This window comes from Homo sapiens, chromosome 1 (assembly GCF_000001405.40).
Source record: "Homo sapiens chromosome 1, GRCh38.p14 Primary Assembly".
NCBI lineage: Eukaryota > Metazoa > Chordata > Mammalia > Primates > Hominidae > Homo > Homo sapiens.
Genome location: NC_000001.11, coordinates 110,054,832 through 110,070,672, shown reverse-complemented (window position 1 = coordinate 110,070,672; position 15,841 = coordinate 110,054,832). Strand labels below are relative to the sequence as shown.

At 56.2% G+C, this 15,841-nt stretch overlaps 1 protein-coding gene across 1 annotated transcript; it reads left to right on the top strand.

Moving 5' to 3' along the window:
* On the top strand, window positions 1–10,803 carry ALX3 (ALX homeobox 3). Its single transcript, NM_006492.3, has 4 exons — window positions 1–337; window positions 5,770–6,086; window positions 9,110–9,238; window positions 9,632–10,803. The coding sequence occupies exons 1-4, from the start codon at window positions 61–63 to the stop codon at window positions 9,938–9,940; spliced, it is 1,032 nt and encodes a 343-aa protein (NP_006483.2). The 5' UTR covers window positions 1–60; the 3' UTR covers window positions 9,941–10,803.

Here is a 15,841-nt window from a genome sequence, read left to right as displayed (position 1 = left end):
ACAGGCGGCGCGGGCAGCGCGAGCCCCGGAGCCCCGGAGGCCTGTGCGCCCTGAGCCGGCATGGACCCCGAGCACTGCGCGCCTTTCCGCGTGGGGCCTGCACCCGGCCCCTATGTGGCCTCGGGGGACGAGCCTCCGGGCCCGCAGGGAACCCCCGCCGCTGCGCCTCACCTGCACCCCGCGCCGCCCCGCGGCCCGCGGCTGACCCGCTTTCCGGCCTGCGGGCCCCTGGAGCCCTACCTCCCAGAGCCGGCCAAGCCGCCCGCCAAGTACCTGCAGGACCTCGGGCCCGGCCCGGCCCTCAACGGCGGCCACTTCTACGAGGGCCCCGCGGAAGGTAACGCGCGGCGCGGGGCGTAGCGCGCAGCCCGACCCTCTCTTCTTCTTCCTTACCCGGGCCCACCCGGGCCTTCCTGCTTATCTCTCCCGCTCGCCTATTTCTCAACTTTTTGCCCCTCTCGCCTTTCGCCACGGCTTCCACGGAAGCCGGGTTGGCGCTGGCCCGGGCCAGGCAAAGGCCAGTGTGGGGCGGGAGGGTGAACCACCGTTCCTCGGCGGCGGGAATGGAAGGCGGGAGGTCGAGGGAAGGTGCAGTGGCGACGGCCCGGAGTCCAGTCGGGGCCCGAAAGCAGTTGGACCTGGGAAGGAGAGAGCATGCTCTGCCGAAGTTGGACTGGAACTGCCACCTACCCTGAAGCCCAGACCCGGCCGAGGGCTGTGGAGCCACACTGAGACCTGACGAAGAAGCGCGGCTTTTGTGTCTGGCGCCCTTTGAGGGCCCTGAGGCTGGGCCTCAACCTAGAGTGGTCAAATCGGGGTCGGCTGGGGACTGCGGCCTGGTCTTGGCCCGTCTCTCCTCCCCGGGCCTAGCCTTCACAGGAAGGGTGCTGCCTGTGCGGCAGACTGGCACAGTCTGGCCGCGACTGGTCGTGCAATGCCAGGGCTGTCCTCAAGACGGAATAACTGTATTCTTATTTCTCATACTAAGCTGGCCTCCCTGCCGTTATGCACTATGATAGCCGCCCTTCTGGCAGTCTTGGCTTCCCCGCGCTGGATCATCACCGCTGGGCAGTCAGGAGCAGCCCTGGGCAGCCTAACCCCCTGGCGCCGCGGGCTCACGGGCCGGTGCCCTGTGCTAAGGCCGGCTGGACCGCGCCGGCATCCGAGAATGCGCCTGAAGGCAGGGGCCTGGCAGGCTGATCGGCAGCTCTGCGGCCGTCCGCCGCACCCTATGACCTGTAAGGCGTCTCGGCTTCCGCACTGCACCCACCTTATCTGCGCTGCCATATCCCGCAGCCTAGGCCCAGAACTGGATCCTCCAAGATCCGCCTCAACCCCCTGCCGCCGCCCGGCTGGCGCCTCGCGGGCCTCCACGGAGTGGCCGGGCATCTCCGGCTTTCGCCCAGCCGGGGCGGTGGGAATGTGTAGGGGAGGGCGGGGAGGTGTGTGTGGGTCAACGGAGGAAATGAACGAGTCCGCGGAGCTTCGTGTCTGTGCCCTTTGAAAGAGGCTTTCCTGATAAAAACCACAGTTGGGACTTAATGAGAAGCAGTTGGCCTGGCTCCTCTGATCCCAGCCAGACGGCAGAGGCCGCGCAGTGCGGTGAGCACCGCCAGAGACAGGTACCCGGCCTGGCTCAGCGCTCCGCGTCGGGCAGGAGCCACCCCCCCAGGCCCGCGTCCCTGCTAGGCGCGCCGCATCCGGCACCGACAGCTCGGGCCCCCGGACCACACCGGTGCCGCGCGAACTGCAGAGAGCGCTGGTGCGGAACGAGCGGCCGGGAGAAACCCAGCACCCCGGGATCCGACGGCAAGGGTGGCCTTGACAACGAAATACCGAGAAAGAAAACCAAAGAAAGCGAGCGACAACCAAGAAAAGGGGAAGGGAAATTGAACAAAACAACGGAGAGCGCGGCGAGAACGAGAGGGTAAATGGCAGTCGGCGAGCTGGGATGAACTAAAATGAATAAATGAGGAACGAACGAATAAAAAAAGCAGGAGCAAGATCGAACGAAACGGATAACTAGAGAAGGGGGAAAGGACAAAGAGGGAGGGAGCAGACTAAACAAAAGAAAACGGAGCATGTTTAAAGCGTAGAATATATCAAAATGAGAACAAGGGGGTAAGAAAATTAACGATTTCAGTTGAACGGAGGACAGGCCAAACGAAAGGGAGGCAGGCGGGTGCGAGCAGAGCCTGGTAGAGATCCTGGCGGCCGCTAGCCTCTGGCGCTCTTGCCGGTGTTCAACGGGCTGCCAGCGTCCCTGCGGCAGAGCGGACCTCGGCGCAGCGCGGCGCGCGGTGGAGCCTGGCTGCTTGAGGACAGTCAGCCCCCAGGGCCGCACAGCCTACTTGGTGGGAAGTGGCGGGCGAAGAGGGAACCCGCCTTATTTCCCGGTTTTTAAAATAACCGGCTCGGAGCGTTTCCAGTCCACACGAGTGAGCGCGCAGCTGCGCCCCATCTGCGGCGCGATCTTTCACGAGGCTGGGCAGTTGCGCGCCCCAGAGCCTGGCGCACCTCGCTCTTCTCCCGCCTGCAGTCCGCCGCCCGCGCAGCCCCAGGCCGCCCTTTGCTGAGAGCGCCCAGCCTTGCTCTGAACCCAGGCTGCGTGCTGGCGCTGCCAGCCACTCTCGCGCCGTCCGCGCTTGGCTAGTCTGTCCCGAGTTTGGCTCTGACGTCGAAACACGCCCTCGGCAAGAGACTCCTACTAGAGTTTTGCCCGCTGCCGCTGAGGCCCTGAGCCGGATGACCCGGCCGATCGCCAAAGTCGAGGAGAGTCCCAAGTTCTTAGACCCGGGCTGAGGCTTCTGGGCCAACGCTGAGAACCCCCAAGAAGGGCACCGAGGCCTCACCGGGGTCCTGCCCACGGCGTTTATGTCCACTCTGGCTTTGAGTCTTCGGCGGGAGCTGCAGGAGCCTGGGCCTCAGCGAGTTCTGCAGGTCGCTTAGTGACCCCACAGTGGCCGGAGGAAACAGTGCGGCGCGGGACAAGGCTGCAGCGAAATGTGAAAGCCAAGGCTGGTCCCGCGGTCTCAATGGATGCCTTCTGTGGGGACAGTGGAGCACTCGGGCCTGCTGCGGCGCTGCTTCCTGGCTGCACAGTGGCTTAGAAGCAGCCGCTGGTAGGGGCTCTGGCACTCCTCCGGGTGAGGGGTGCTCAGGGTACGGCAGGCCTGAGAGCTGGGTCAGGGACAGAGAGCTCCTTTACTACGTTAAAAGGCTCCTGGCTTTCACGCCCAACAGCTGCTGCTGTGGCCCTGCGGTTATGCAGGCAGAAGACACCCCAGCGTTGTCTCAGGCTGTCTCCAACATGAGTACCCCGCCTTAACCACCTAGTGTCCGGATCAGGTGCAGTGACTCCTCTGCACAATCCATACACACCTCAGATGTGCCCCGTGCTCAGCAGAGCAGCCCTCACTCCTTTACAAGCTTAGGTTCAAGCTGCTGGCTGCTATTCCTGGCCTGTCTTTCCTGGCTTCTGCCTTCCATTTGTCCCAGTTCTATCCCTTTCCTCTTCTGGGCCTTGCTCCTCAGGAGGCTGCTCTGTGTTCTCTGAGGAGTGCCCCTCTCCCAAAGTGGAGGGATGCCACCCTCCCTCTGGTGTTCTCCAGGTAGATCAAGGAGGTTTCAGGGCAATGACAATGAGGAGAGCAGTTCCGTGGTCCCTTGAGAGGGCTGTAGACTGGGCAGGCATGGGAGTTGGGCATAGGTCAGCAGGCTTAGCCTCTTCTTTGGGGAAGCTGCTCTGAGAAGTCCTACTGCACTTTCATCCCTTGTCCCTGGCAGCTTGGTGGCTCAAGGTCGGGAACGCAAGTCTCAGGGCCCCAGATCTGGTCCCTTCTTCTGGGCAGGTCCTATTGAGACCCAAGAGGCAGATGAGCAAGCCCCAGGGCTTTGGAGGGCCTCTGCCAGGATGTCAGTACTCTTGAACCCCAGCCCTGACCCTCAGCCCTGAGCTACCCTCACCCCTTTTCTGCCTGGAGTCCAGCACAGCCTCCCTACAAACACAAGACACCAAGACTCTTTCTTCTCAGGCTGAACATTTCCATGGCCTGCTGTGTGTATGCATGTGGTGGGGGTGGCGGGGGCGGGGGGGGGGGATGTCCCATTCCAGTGTCCCTAGTCTTCCTATCATTTTCAATTATTTGGTTCAACTTCTGTGAGTCTTCCTTCCTAAGCTTCTATCAAATGGAACTGCCTCTAAACCTGAAATGTGCTGGCCCAAGAATGGAAGTCAGAGACTGGAACACTTTCTCCCCTGTGCTCCACCTGAGTTGTGAAGGAGCCCTGGTCCCTGGGCTGTAGCTGTGGGCTACCTGTGTACAGGCCTGTGTACAGGCTGGGCATGGTCCAAGGCTAGGTAGCCCTGCTCGACTCTCCCAGTCCTCCAGGACACACACCAGGAGCTTATCTCATGGCCTGGGTAGTCCTGGAAAGTAACTGACCACCTTCCAGCTGAGGAGGACCCTGCCCCATTTGTCCTTCACAGTGCAGACAGGGACTCACCAGACCCAGATCCTGAGAGGCCCATTTGTCCAGTCCCATCCTCCCCCAACCACAGCTGTGATCCTGACACCAAGTCCTGGGAAGACACTGCCTCTTGTGCCAGCTAGCTGGGCCTCCTCAGGGCCAGGCCTCCACTGGAGATGGGCCCAGAGCCAGGCAAGAGGCTGTGTGAGTCAGTGGGGCGTCTTTGTGGCGTCTCAGCTGCCATCCCAGTGGACTGTTGAGGAGGGATTTCATGGGGACACCGCTGGGGGTCCTTGCCAGAGGGAGAGGGTGTGGGCAATCAGAGTGACCTATTTTTCACCATGCTCTGTCGGTCGATCCACCATGGTGAGGCTCCGCCAAGCTTCTGGAGTAGGGGTTAGCATGTCAGAGTGGGGCTGCTGGAAACTGTTCCAGTCTGTAATCAAGTCCTTCCCTGCCTGTTAAACACAGGCAATGGGGGAGCAGTTAGAAACTCCTGAGGAAGGAGGGGGTGGTCAATGATGGGAATGATGGGGACAGGGGCTGTGCCCTGTTGTGACACTGGTCCCCAACTCTCCTTCTTTGAGCACAGCCTATCTCAGCTCTGCTTCTCTATTGCTGGAGCTTAAGTCCTTGCCCAGATACCACAATTTTAGGAGGAATGGAGAGAAGCAATCCCTCTGGAAGCTTCTTTGTCCCATCTTGCCCTTCTTACACCAGAGCTGGGGAATTTGATATTGACCTGAGACCTGGGGTTCAGAGAATAAAGCTCAGCCAGACCAGCCAAAGGTGGTCTGAGCACCCACGTCCACAGCCTGCCTGGCCCTGGGAACAGAGGCGTGGGCATAAGGGCCTGGGAACCAAGGCCTGCAGAGTTAGGAACAAGGAAGCACTTTCTGGCAGGAGCAGGAGATGTCAACCACCCCATCCTCACCCCGCCCTCTGCCCCCATTCTTGGCCTTGCCAGGGTGGTGGTCCTGCTGTGGCGCCAGTCCTCTCACGTCCCTGTGGAACGCACCACCACAGAGCACTTCCCCGAAATGAACCCCACTCTGGCCCCAGCAGATCCGCCCAGACCACAGAGCACATAGTTCCCCAGGGCCCCCTCCCCAGCTGGAGGCTCAGCAGGCAGGCCTCTAAATGCCAGGCTCCCATGGAGGGTGGCTGCCAGGAGGAAGGGAAGGGAAAGGAAGGGGGAGGCGGAGACTGAGGCGTCAATGTTCTTCCCCCTCCCTCCATTCCAACCCACAAAAGCCCCTGGTTCAGTTGCCATCCTCCCTTTTGTGTTCTCCATTGCAGCTGAGGAGAAGACCTCCAAAGCTGCCAGCTTCCCCCAGCTGCCCTTGGACTGCCGAGGGGGCCCCAGAGACGGGCCCTCTAACTTGCAAGGCTCCCCAGGCCCCTGCCTGGCCAGCCTGCATCTTCCTCTTTCCCCGGGACTCCCTGACTCCATGGAGTTGGCCAAGAACAAGAGCAAGAAGCGTCGTAACCGCACGACCTTCAGCACATTCCAGCTGGAGGAGCTGGAGAAGGTCTTCCAGAAAACCCACTATCCTGATGTGTATGCCCGGGAGCAGCTGGCCCTGCGCACAGACCTGACTGAGGCCCGGGTACAGGTGAGGGCACTGCAAGGATGGGGCTCTCTGGCTGCCCCTATCACACAGTGACCAGAAAGTGATCTGGAAGGGCTGGGAGAGGTGGGCACTGGTGCCTCCCAGAGCTACCTTTCCCAGGGGCCTGCACCAGCCTTCCCCTCCTGGGCTCACCCTCATGCCCAGCTCTGCTGCAGCCACAGGCTCTTCTGGTCCAAATTGAAGCTTATGCCTGGGTATAAGGGCGATGGCCTCTGGAAGCCATCACCTGTGTGGGAGTCCTAAAGTCTACCACTTACTGGAGGTGATTTGGGGTATGTTAATAGATCTCTCAGTCTCAGTTTCCCAGTTCAGGAAAAGGGAATGATGGGACTGGCTGCGTAGGGACTATCCTGAGGATCACAGGGATGGCCGCATTTTGGAAGCGGTGAAGTGCTGAACACACATCAGGGCTGCTCCTGAGGTGGCTGCCTAGAATGGGAGGGTCCCTGTCAGGAGGTCTCAGGGTTAGTGATTCTCAAAGTCATCAGGAGCCACCGACCTTGGGTCCCTGCCAGCGCTCAGACCCTGGCTGGGAAAGGCTGGCTGGGAAAGGCTGGCTGGGAGCCCTTCCCCATCCTAACAAAATCCCCCATGGAGATCAGGTGCCAGGGCTTCCCAGAGGGGCCGTGGCCAGTTTTACATGGGGGGAGCCCAGCCTGTGGGTAGGTAAATGCTGAGAAGGGAGGAAGGCAAGGGAAGCCCACGTCCAAGCATGCTGGAAGTGTCAAGCACATGAAGGTGGCAAGCAGGCTGGGGATGGGGAAGGAGTTTCAGTAAGAGTCTGGCCCAAGAGGAAGATGGCCATTCACTGGCTTGCACTGAACCGGCTCGATCAAAGCAGGCTTCCCGATACCAAGCAGGAGACACTGGGAGGGGTGGGTTGGAGTTCTGGGGAAAGGTGAGGAGGTGACCTCTTAGGCAGAGGAGTCTCTCTCCCACCATGGAGGAGACTTAGCAGGAACAAAGCTCATGCTATCCCACCCTGCATGGGGCCCTTCCAGAGACCCTTTGTGAAGGCACTAGGGCAGGAGATAGTCCTGGCAGGATATGGGGACTGACAGGCCAGTCTATAAAGAGGCCAGCTGTCATCTAACAGAGAAGGCCCTACGGCTGCATCCAACAGGATGAGAGAGGCTTGGGCTGTTTCCCCTTCTCTGCTGCGTTCTCCTGCCTCCCTGCTCCTCCGAGGAGCCAAAACAGACTTCCAAGACTGTCCCCCAAGGCCTCCAGGGGCTGAGGTCATCAGGGCAAGAGGCCCGGCATTCAAGGCAACCCCAGATGATATAAGCCATGGGAATCAGGACCATGGAGTCACCTCAGCAGGCCTCCGGGGTGTGGTCTAACCAGCTCTTCCCAAAGCAAGTGTTTGTGGGAGGTGGAGAGCACTTCCTCTGCTCCTCTCCTAGGCCTTTTCAACCTGAGAGGGTGCAGGAGTAGCCATGAGGCCCTCACCCCTAGTCTAGAAGCTTCCTGAAGGATGGAGACCCTGGAGTAGGAATGTTTTCTCTGGCAGGGGTGTGAAACCCACCCATACACCCTGCCCTATGGAGAGGAAGAATGAGACTACACACCAGATAATGCAGAGGGCAGGTCCAGAGCCCAGGGGAGGCCTACAGCGGGATCCCCAAGGGAGAATGGGTGGTGACAGAAAAGTGAGTTCCAATAGCCAGATTCACTGGCTGTAAGCTCCCTCATCCTCTGTCAGGGGAGGGAGAGCAGAGAAAGGAAATCCAGGCAGCTGGGCAGGTGGGGGTGGCCTTTTGCTGACCTTGCTGCAGGCCTGCTTTCTTATCTTGGCAATCTGGGAGCTAGGGGGATGGGGTATGCACAGCCCCTTCACTGTTGGTGCCTTACCTGCCTGCATGTGTAGGAATGACCATGGGGGCAGGAAGCCTGATCCCAGCTGGGGTAGACGGATTACTCCACACACACACACACACACACACACACACACACACACACACAGCTTTCTTCTGTTGTGACTCCCAGCTAGATATCCCTGGAAAGCAGGGGTTGTTTTGTTTGGTTGGTTTTATTTTGACATTGTTAAATTTAGCTTAGAGGCTGACACATAAATGTTGATTAAATGATAGAAATACAAAACATATATACCAATACAGTTAAATGTAACAGTCACAGCACATATACCAAACAACGAATTCATCACAGATATGTACACAGATGTGCACAACACACAGATGTGCCACCCCTATCTGCCAAGGGCTCACAAATAAATGGGAGAAACAGATTCCAAAACAGATCATGGTAATGGAATGGGGTGAGTACAAAGAGAGGTCCAGGGTATTTTGGAAGTCCTGTGGAGGATGCCCAGTGTGGATGTATGTGTTGAGGGGATGAGTAGCCCAGGAAGAGAAAACCTAAGCAAAAGATGGAAGGAGCAAGATAGCAGTGTTTCAGAAGAGCTGGGCGGGAGCTTGGGAGGCAACCAGAAGAATAAATGTGTTTGCCTGGCAGGATATGAGGCTGTGCAGAGAGGCAGGGGCCTTGTTAAGAAGCTATGCTCTGGACCAAGGTCTCCAGGGAGTCACTGAGGGTTTAAACAGGACCATGACCTGAACAGAAATGTCTAAGATTCCTCGGATGCTATGAGGTGGGTAGCCTGGAAAAGGAGATGAGGCAGGGAGACTAGAAACCCAACACATGTACACAGTATACCCAGGAAGTACCTAGGGCCCCTGAGGCCCACAGATGCCCCCACAACACCCTTACTAGACACAGCCAGGCTGGAGGACCACAGTGATTCAACCTGGGGAGTGACAGCTGGAGGCCCATGGGGCCAATTACCCACTGTGGGCTTGGGCCTCTCCCAGGCTTCCTCCCAGGCTTCCCTGGCCTGGAGAACAGTGTGGATTAACAGTTGAGATCCTCCATCCTGGAGCCTGCTCCCCATCCCACAAGAGGACACAACCATCAGCTCTCCCTAGCAGGCTCCTTTCCTCAGGGCTGCCCTATCACCCCCTCAAACCCCCACAACCTGCCCCCAGGTCTGGTTCCAGAACCGCAGAGCCAAGTGGCGGAAGCGCGAGCGTTATGGGAAGATCCAGGAGGGGCGGAACCCCTTCACGGCTGCCTATGACATCTCTGTGCTGCCCCGTACTGACAGCCACCCTCAGGTAAGACCCCAGCCCTACCTGAACCAGGACCTGGCAGGGTCACCAAAAAGAATATGAGGTCTGGCCTGAAGAAACCTGGAGAGCGTCAGCGTTCTGTATGACAGTGGGTACACCACTTCACTTCTTTCTCTGCAAACCGGGGCTCTTGCCTGTCTCATGAATGACGCATGCGGAACACAAAGGAATCACAGAAGAAAATTTCGTTTTGAGAACAGTGGCAGGGGCCTCCTGAGATGCCACTGCCAGTGTTGGGGGTGAGAGGGGGTAGATCTGAGCCAAGTGGAGGTTTCCTGGAAAGTTTCTGGGGCCCCAAGGACAAAGAGAAAGCCCCTGGGTAGGGAAGTCAGCTCCTGAGGCTACAGGCTCATGGGCCTTCTTTCCCTCTCTTTTCAGCTGCAGAACTCCCTGTGGGCCAGTCCAGGATCTGGGAGCCCTGGAGGCCCCTGCCTTGTGTCTCCAGAGGGCATCCCCTCCCCATGCATGTCTCCATATTCCCACCCCCATGGGAGTGTGGCTGGCTTCATGGGGGTGCCAGCCCCTTCTGCGGCTCACCCTGGCATCTACTCCATCCATGGCTTTCCCCCCACCCTGGGGGGCCACAGCTTTGAGCCTTCCTCAGATGGTGACTATAAGTCTCCAAGCCTCGTCTCGCTCAGGGTAAAGCCCAAGGAGCCACCCGGCCTTCTGAACTGGACCACGTGATCGGTTGCATGGACCTGCAGAATGAGCTGCCCACCTCTTTTTCCATTCCCAGTCGCTCCCAGCCCACCTCTGCCTCCAAGCCCCAGATGGTTCTGGAGGCTGCGAGAGCAGCTGGCACTGTCAGCCCCCAGCAGGGAACACGTTACAGGGTCTTTTCTCTTAGAACAAGGTGGGGCTGCCTAGGAGAAGGGGCTTCGAAGCAGCCAGGACTCTTCCTACCACAAACTGAGTCCCCTCACCTGAACTCTGGGCTGGAGGCAGGGAGACACTGCCCTGCTTCCTCCAGACTTTGTCCAAGTCCATTGTCATCTCTCCAGCTAAGACAGCTTACTTGGCTCATCGTTCAGGGAACCCAGGAAAATGGGAGGAGAACGCCGCGTGGACTGAAGCTCTTCATGATGAGATGGAAACCAAAAGGGAGTCTCCCATGATGGGGTGGAGTCAGCCCTGCTTCCCCTCCCCACCAGCAGGGGGCGCACTGGTGTCTGACACTAAGGAGGGTGTAAAGGCCAAGGTCAGCATAGACTGAGGCACACTGGCTCCTCAGCTCCAGCCACCCTCACTCCTGCCATGTGCCTGCACTCCCAGCATGCCATGCAGTCATCTTCCCCTCCAAGGGGGCAGAAATTCCACCAGAAATCACCACATATTTGGAATCTCTTCCACGGGACCAGCCCAGAGCTATGCCATGGAAATGATATTGGATGTTGGTAAGAATAAAACAGATTTCTACAGACTGAGATCCTGATCCCCATTTTTGTACAGACACTTTTGTGTTTTTTTTGTTTAAAAAAAAAAAAAAGGAGAGAGAGAGAAAAAAAAGGCTGCCCAGCATTCTAATAAAGGTGGTGGTGTTTTTTATACCAGGTGACTGTCTATCCCCAGGGCTTGGCACTGGTTGCTTTGGGGCTGGTCTGTGTCCAGGATGCAGGCTGGCCACGACCCCTGAGAGGCCAGCAAGGAAGGGGAAGGTGGTCCTGCAGCAGAGCCCTCAAGGCCGATGCATGCCAGGCTGGGCTCTGTCACCTGCCTAGGGTCTCTGTGGCTTTGGCTGTGCTGGGAGGCAGGGAGAAAAGCTCAGCTCTAGGGCTGGGCTCATGTGGCAGGGAAAACTGAGGGTGGGACTGGCAGTAAAAAAGCTAAAATAATTTTGTGGCTAAACTGACAATGGAAAGGAGGTAGAATGGAAGAAAGGGGTGCCCACTGAGGTTCTGTGCTCCCCATGGGCTGGGACCCCAGGGTGGTGGGAGTGGGTCAGCTTCCTTCCAGATGCCCCAGGAAATGTCTGAGCTGTGGGGCAGAGACAAAAGCCAGAACTCTTTCTTGTGGTTTCAGAGTATTACCCATTCTATCCTTCATCCTCACTTTCTGCCTTATCTCCGAAGCCTGGAAGGCAGGAAAAAGGTCTGGCCCTCCCACCCTCCCAGTAAACACAACCACATTGCTCAGAAGAATTCAGCCTCAACCAGCAGCCCGGCCACCCCCACCCCACGCCTCATCTTTCAGGCACAGAGAAACCCAAGCCCACAAAGACACATCAGGGCTGAGCTGATTCGAGAGGAGGGGGTGAGTCCCCCACCAGATCAGATTTCCCAGCCAAGACAGTCGCATGTATCCCCAGAGGAGTCTGTCTTCCCTCCCTTCCTTCCCCTTCCCTCTATACAAGGGTCTGGCTTTTGGTGATTTCTTTCCTCTTGGTCTTGACGCTGGCTCTGAGGTCCACAGGTGTGAGCCCTGTATCCGGGAGGGGACCCAGCAGAAAGAGGAGAGTCAGGGTAGGAAGGAGAGACATCCCTGGCTGCCACTGATGAACAGAATCTCCTTCACCTGGCCAGGCAGTAATGAAATTGGGGCTCAAGCCAACCATTCTGACTCCAGGGCTCACACCACTGTATGAGAAGTTTCTTCATCCAAGGAGTCATCAGCAAAGTTTTGGACCTTCTTCCCCACCAAGTCAGAAAGATGTATAGAGAGAGTAGTTTGTTCTACAAACATTTTTGAGTGCCAACTCAGCCTGGCAATGTGCTGGGTGCCAGAGATAGAGCGATGGTTGAGGAAAAATATGATTCTTCTCTCTTGAGAGGGCTTAGAAATATGAAAGGAGGGAAGAGGAAAGGATCTGTGATAAACCCAAACAAAGAAACCAGAAGTGGGAAGAGACAGGAGAAAAAATAAAGGTGAGCCAGAGGTCAATGAAGCAAGAGTGGGAGAGGCTGGCAGAGGCCAGGAGGGGACCCATGGCGGGGTCGGGGGCTCCTAGGGGAGGGCACAGAGAGGCCAGAGACTGGCTACTGGCTCTCATCCAGGGGCATCTGCCCACAGCTCATATTTTTCTGTCCAGTGACAGCTAAATGAAGAGAAAGCTAACTTTACAACCGCCCACTTCACATATAATGAATATGAATGGGTATCCCGGAGCCTGTTTTGTGGGATTGTCTGTGAGGTGACAGGTCCTCCTACTTACTGGGCCATCCCAGCCAGCCTGTCCCCTGCCTGGGGCATGAGCAGCCCTTCCACCTGCTTCTCATTAGCTGTGTCCCTCCTCCTCCCACACACCCCTAAGACACGGCCCCGTCTCCAGATAACCCTGCCCTCAGCCTCACTCCAGAGCTAACCTCAGACCTCCGCCCAGGCCAGTGGTTCCTCAAGGCCAGGCCTGTGCTCTGGCCACTCCTTCTGGGAAGGGAAAGGGGAAGTGGCCCCTCCTGAAATCCCAGCTCATTTTGCTGAGGCTCCTGTCTCCCCCAGAGAAGATGCCAGAGCCCTAAATCTTGGTCCTGGCAGAAACACGGACACCAGGTCAGGACTGGAGGGCCACAGCCAGGGGGCCCATCAGTCTAGTCTGCCCACCTCAGTCAGCAGCTGGAAATGCTTCTCATGCAAGGCATTCAATCCTCCTTCCCCACCTCTCCCATTTACACTTCAACCTGAATTACAACCCCAAAGTGCAGACCCTCTGCAGCTCCAGATGGGAAGAGTCTAGCATGGCCAGGAACTGGGAAGACCCTAACATTTCCTTTATCCAGCAGAGGAAAGACTTCCCCTGCCCCAGCCTCCTCCACAGGCTCATCCCAGGCATTTCACCTGGAAGGTGGTGAGCATCAAGCGTCAGCTGTCAGAGCCCTTGATTCTGATGCTGGAGCCCCCTTCCTTCCCACTTAGCGACTGCTGGCTCCCCCAGCAATCTCTCCTCCAATACTAAGAGGCTGGGACCAGTGGGACCTGTGGTAAGCCCTTCAGACGTCTGTTACCTATCATGCTATTGCTTTTACTTGCTCTTATGGCTGTGTCTCCATCAACTGCGAGCTCGAGAGAAGTGAGAGAGTGTGGTATCCTAGTAACCTGGATATCCAGGGCATCTACCACAGGGCCTGGCCCCAACAGGCCTTCAAGGTGTGATGGCAGGTTGCTGGACGAGTAGCTGACTCTTCTGAGATGCCTCTGGATTCACAGCAGCCAGCTAGGTCCAGGGGCTTTAAGGAGGCCTAAGACATGGTTCTGGTCCTTGAAAGGGATTTCTGTCTTCTAGGGGACATAGGAAATGGGTACAAATTCATAGAACATTAGAGTTTGAGGGGCCATTGCCAAGACTAAGAACTGCTACCATTTATTGTCATCCCTTGTCAGCCAGACATGTAGGTTCATTTCCACAATCTTACTCAGCCCATGCAATACGGCTATTATTAAACCAATTTTTACAGATGAGTCAACTGAGCCTTGGAAATTGACTAGCTCAAGGTCCCTCAGTGAGTAAATGTCAGAGCCCGAATTGAAAGTCAGGGCTGTCTCACTCCCAAAGGGTGCTCCTCCCTTGTTTTATAGCCAGCAGCCTGAGGCTGACTGTGCCAAGTGCCAAATGAATGTAACAACTATTCTCCTCTGAGAAGTCAGCTCTTTGAGGACAGACGGAAGCCAGCCTCCTGGGAAATGAGCCTAACAGGTATAGAAGGGGCAGCCAACACAAGAGTCCTCTGGGACCCAGAAGAGAAAAAAATTTAGGCTCAGGCTGAAAAGAAAAAAAGACGGCAGCAACAGCCAAGTTACCCTGAGGAGGGCATATTCAGGGAACATCAGAGGCTAGGCTAAGGCTAAGCTTAGGTGGTCCAGTTAGGACCTAAAGCAATGGACATTTACCATGAATCTTTCATGCCGGGGACGATGCTAGAGCAAATGTGAAGTGTTGGCTGTGGTGAATAAATGAGCAAATGAAGGCACTGGTGGTAAGTGCTGGGGTATGACAATGACTAATAGCAAAGGGTGTGAGGGAGTGAAAAAAATGCGTGCGCTGAGACAGAGGCCTGGATTTGAATCCTGGCTCTTGCCTTTATATGACCTTGGGCAAGTTCTTTATCCTTTCTGTGCCACAGTTTTCTCCTGTGCAAAATAGGGATTAAAATGGCATGTATCTTTCAGGATATCACAAGGAATATGTAAGATATTATACATCAAGTGGTTAGAACGCTGGCTGGCACATTGTAAGTACTCAGCATTTGCTGGCTTTGTAGAAAATAAGGCTTTGAGAAGCATCTAATATTGTGCCTGGTACCTACTTGGCAACCCATAAGTGGTAACTCTTACGATTAACAAGGGACAGCTCCCATCCTTAGAGTGATACTGCCTCAGGGTAATCTGTCCCTCGGTGGATTGAAGGAGCAGTGGACCCTGACCCTGCTTAGCAATAAACAACATTTTATGTAACTCAATCAAAGTACAAAGGGTCTTCATGTACTCTGCCCATTTCATGACCCATATGAGATTTAAAAAGCCACAAAAACTGTGTGGCTCCAAAAGACATTTCTGTACAAAGACCTGAGTTCAAATGGCCAACCTGCCACTAATACACTCTGTGGCTGTGAGAAGCCCCTTCCTCTCCCCAGGCTGGCTCCTGGGCCTACAGCTGAAAGGATTTGCCTGCCCAGGCTTTATGGCCCTTGCAGCTTTGATAGTCCTGCATTCTCTTTTGCAGGTCAGAGGAGAGACAGGCCTCGACCACGCAGTTTCAGTGACTCAGGCTTCATGGGAGAGTAAGAATGTGAAAAATCCATCTCTCCCTAATTGAAATCTCAAGATACATATTTCCTGTCAGTCCTGGAAAGAAATAGCAGAAAATCCATCATCCACACATAAATTGTGTCAATTCCCTTGTCCTGTACAAGTTACTTTGGGGCACAGGGCCCATCAGTCACAGATGGGACTTCCCATCTCACAGCTGTGTGACCATCAGGAGTACACTGCTGCCTTCCACCCCTGCTGTCCCTAACCATGCTGGCACATCAAAAGGCCTGTCCTGAGGCTCAGCAGGTCCCAGGCCAGGCAGGCATGAACACAAGACCCAAAGAAGGGGAGATGCTCCCCAGAACATGTTTCCTTTACAAGTCAAGACCCCTTGGAGATTTAACAACCTACAAAACAACTGCCTACAGGTAAAATAAGAGCTTCCAGGAATTCTAAAAAGGAAACACTCCTTTCACCAGCATCAAAACACTAATATCTTCTCAGGCAGATGAAACCAGGGGTCTGGAGGCCAAAGTGGAGGCGCCAGGTGTCCACTGACACCTACTACAAAGATTTTCCTTGCTTTTCTCTCAGCCACAGGGGGCTCCTGGGCCCTCCAACACTTTTTCCCACCGTGAACCTGACTCCTGATGGTCTGCTTCCTAGGCTCTGAGTACTGAAGTTTCCCCTCAGTCCCAACCACCTGCCCCAGGGAGGACCTAGAGCAGCAGACCCCCTTGCTTTGACCTAGCCCCTCCCTCCATAGCACTGACACTGGTTTGGCTGAGGCCAGCTCAGTGATGTGATCCAGAGAAACCTGGGGCTCCTACTGAAATTACAGCAAACCCAGGGGTGCAGGACAATGTGTCAGTAAAGTAACCTAGTGCCCTGGAGTTGGGCTAGAGC

Excerpts from the sequence above, each read along its gene's own strand:
- ALX3 (NM_006492.3), top strand. The coding sequence starts at position 61 with ATGGACCCCGAGCACTGCGCGCCTTTCCGCGTGGGGCCTGCACCCGGC. Across the intron at positions 338-5,769 it reads CTACGAGGGCCCCGCGGAAG|CTGAGGAGAAGACCTCCAAA; the intron begins GTAACGCGCGGC and ends TCTCCATTGCAG. Across the intron at positions 6,087-9,109 it reads TGACTGAGGCCCGGGTACAG|GTCTGGTTCCAGAACCGCAG; the intron begins GTGAGGGCACTG and ends ACCTGCCCCCAG.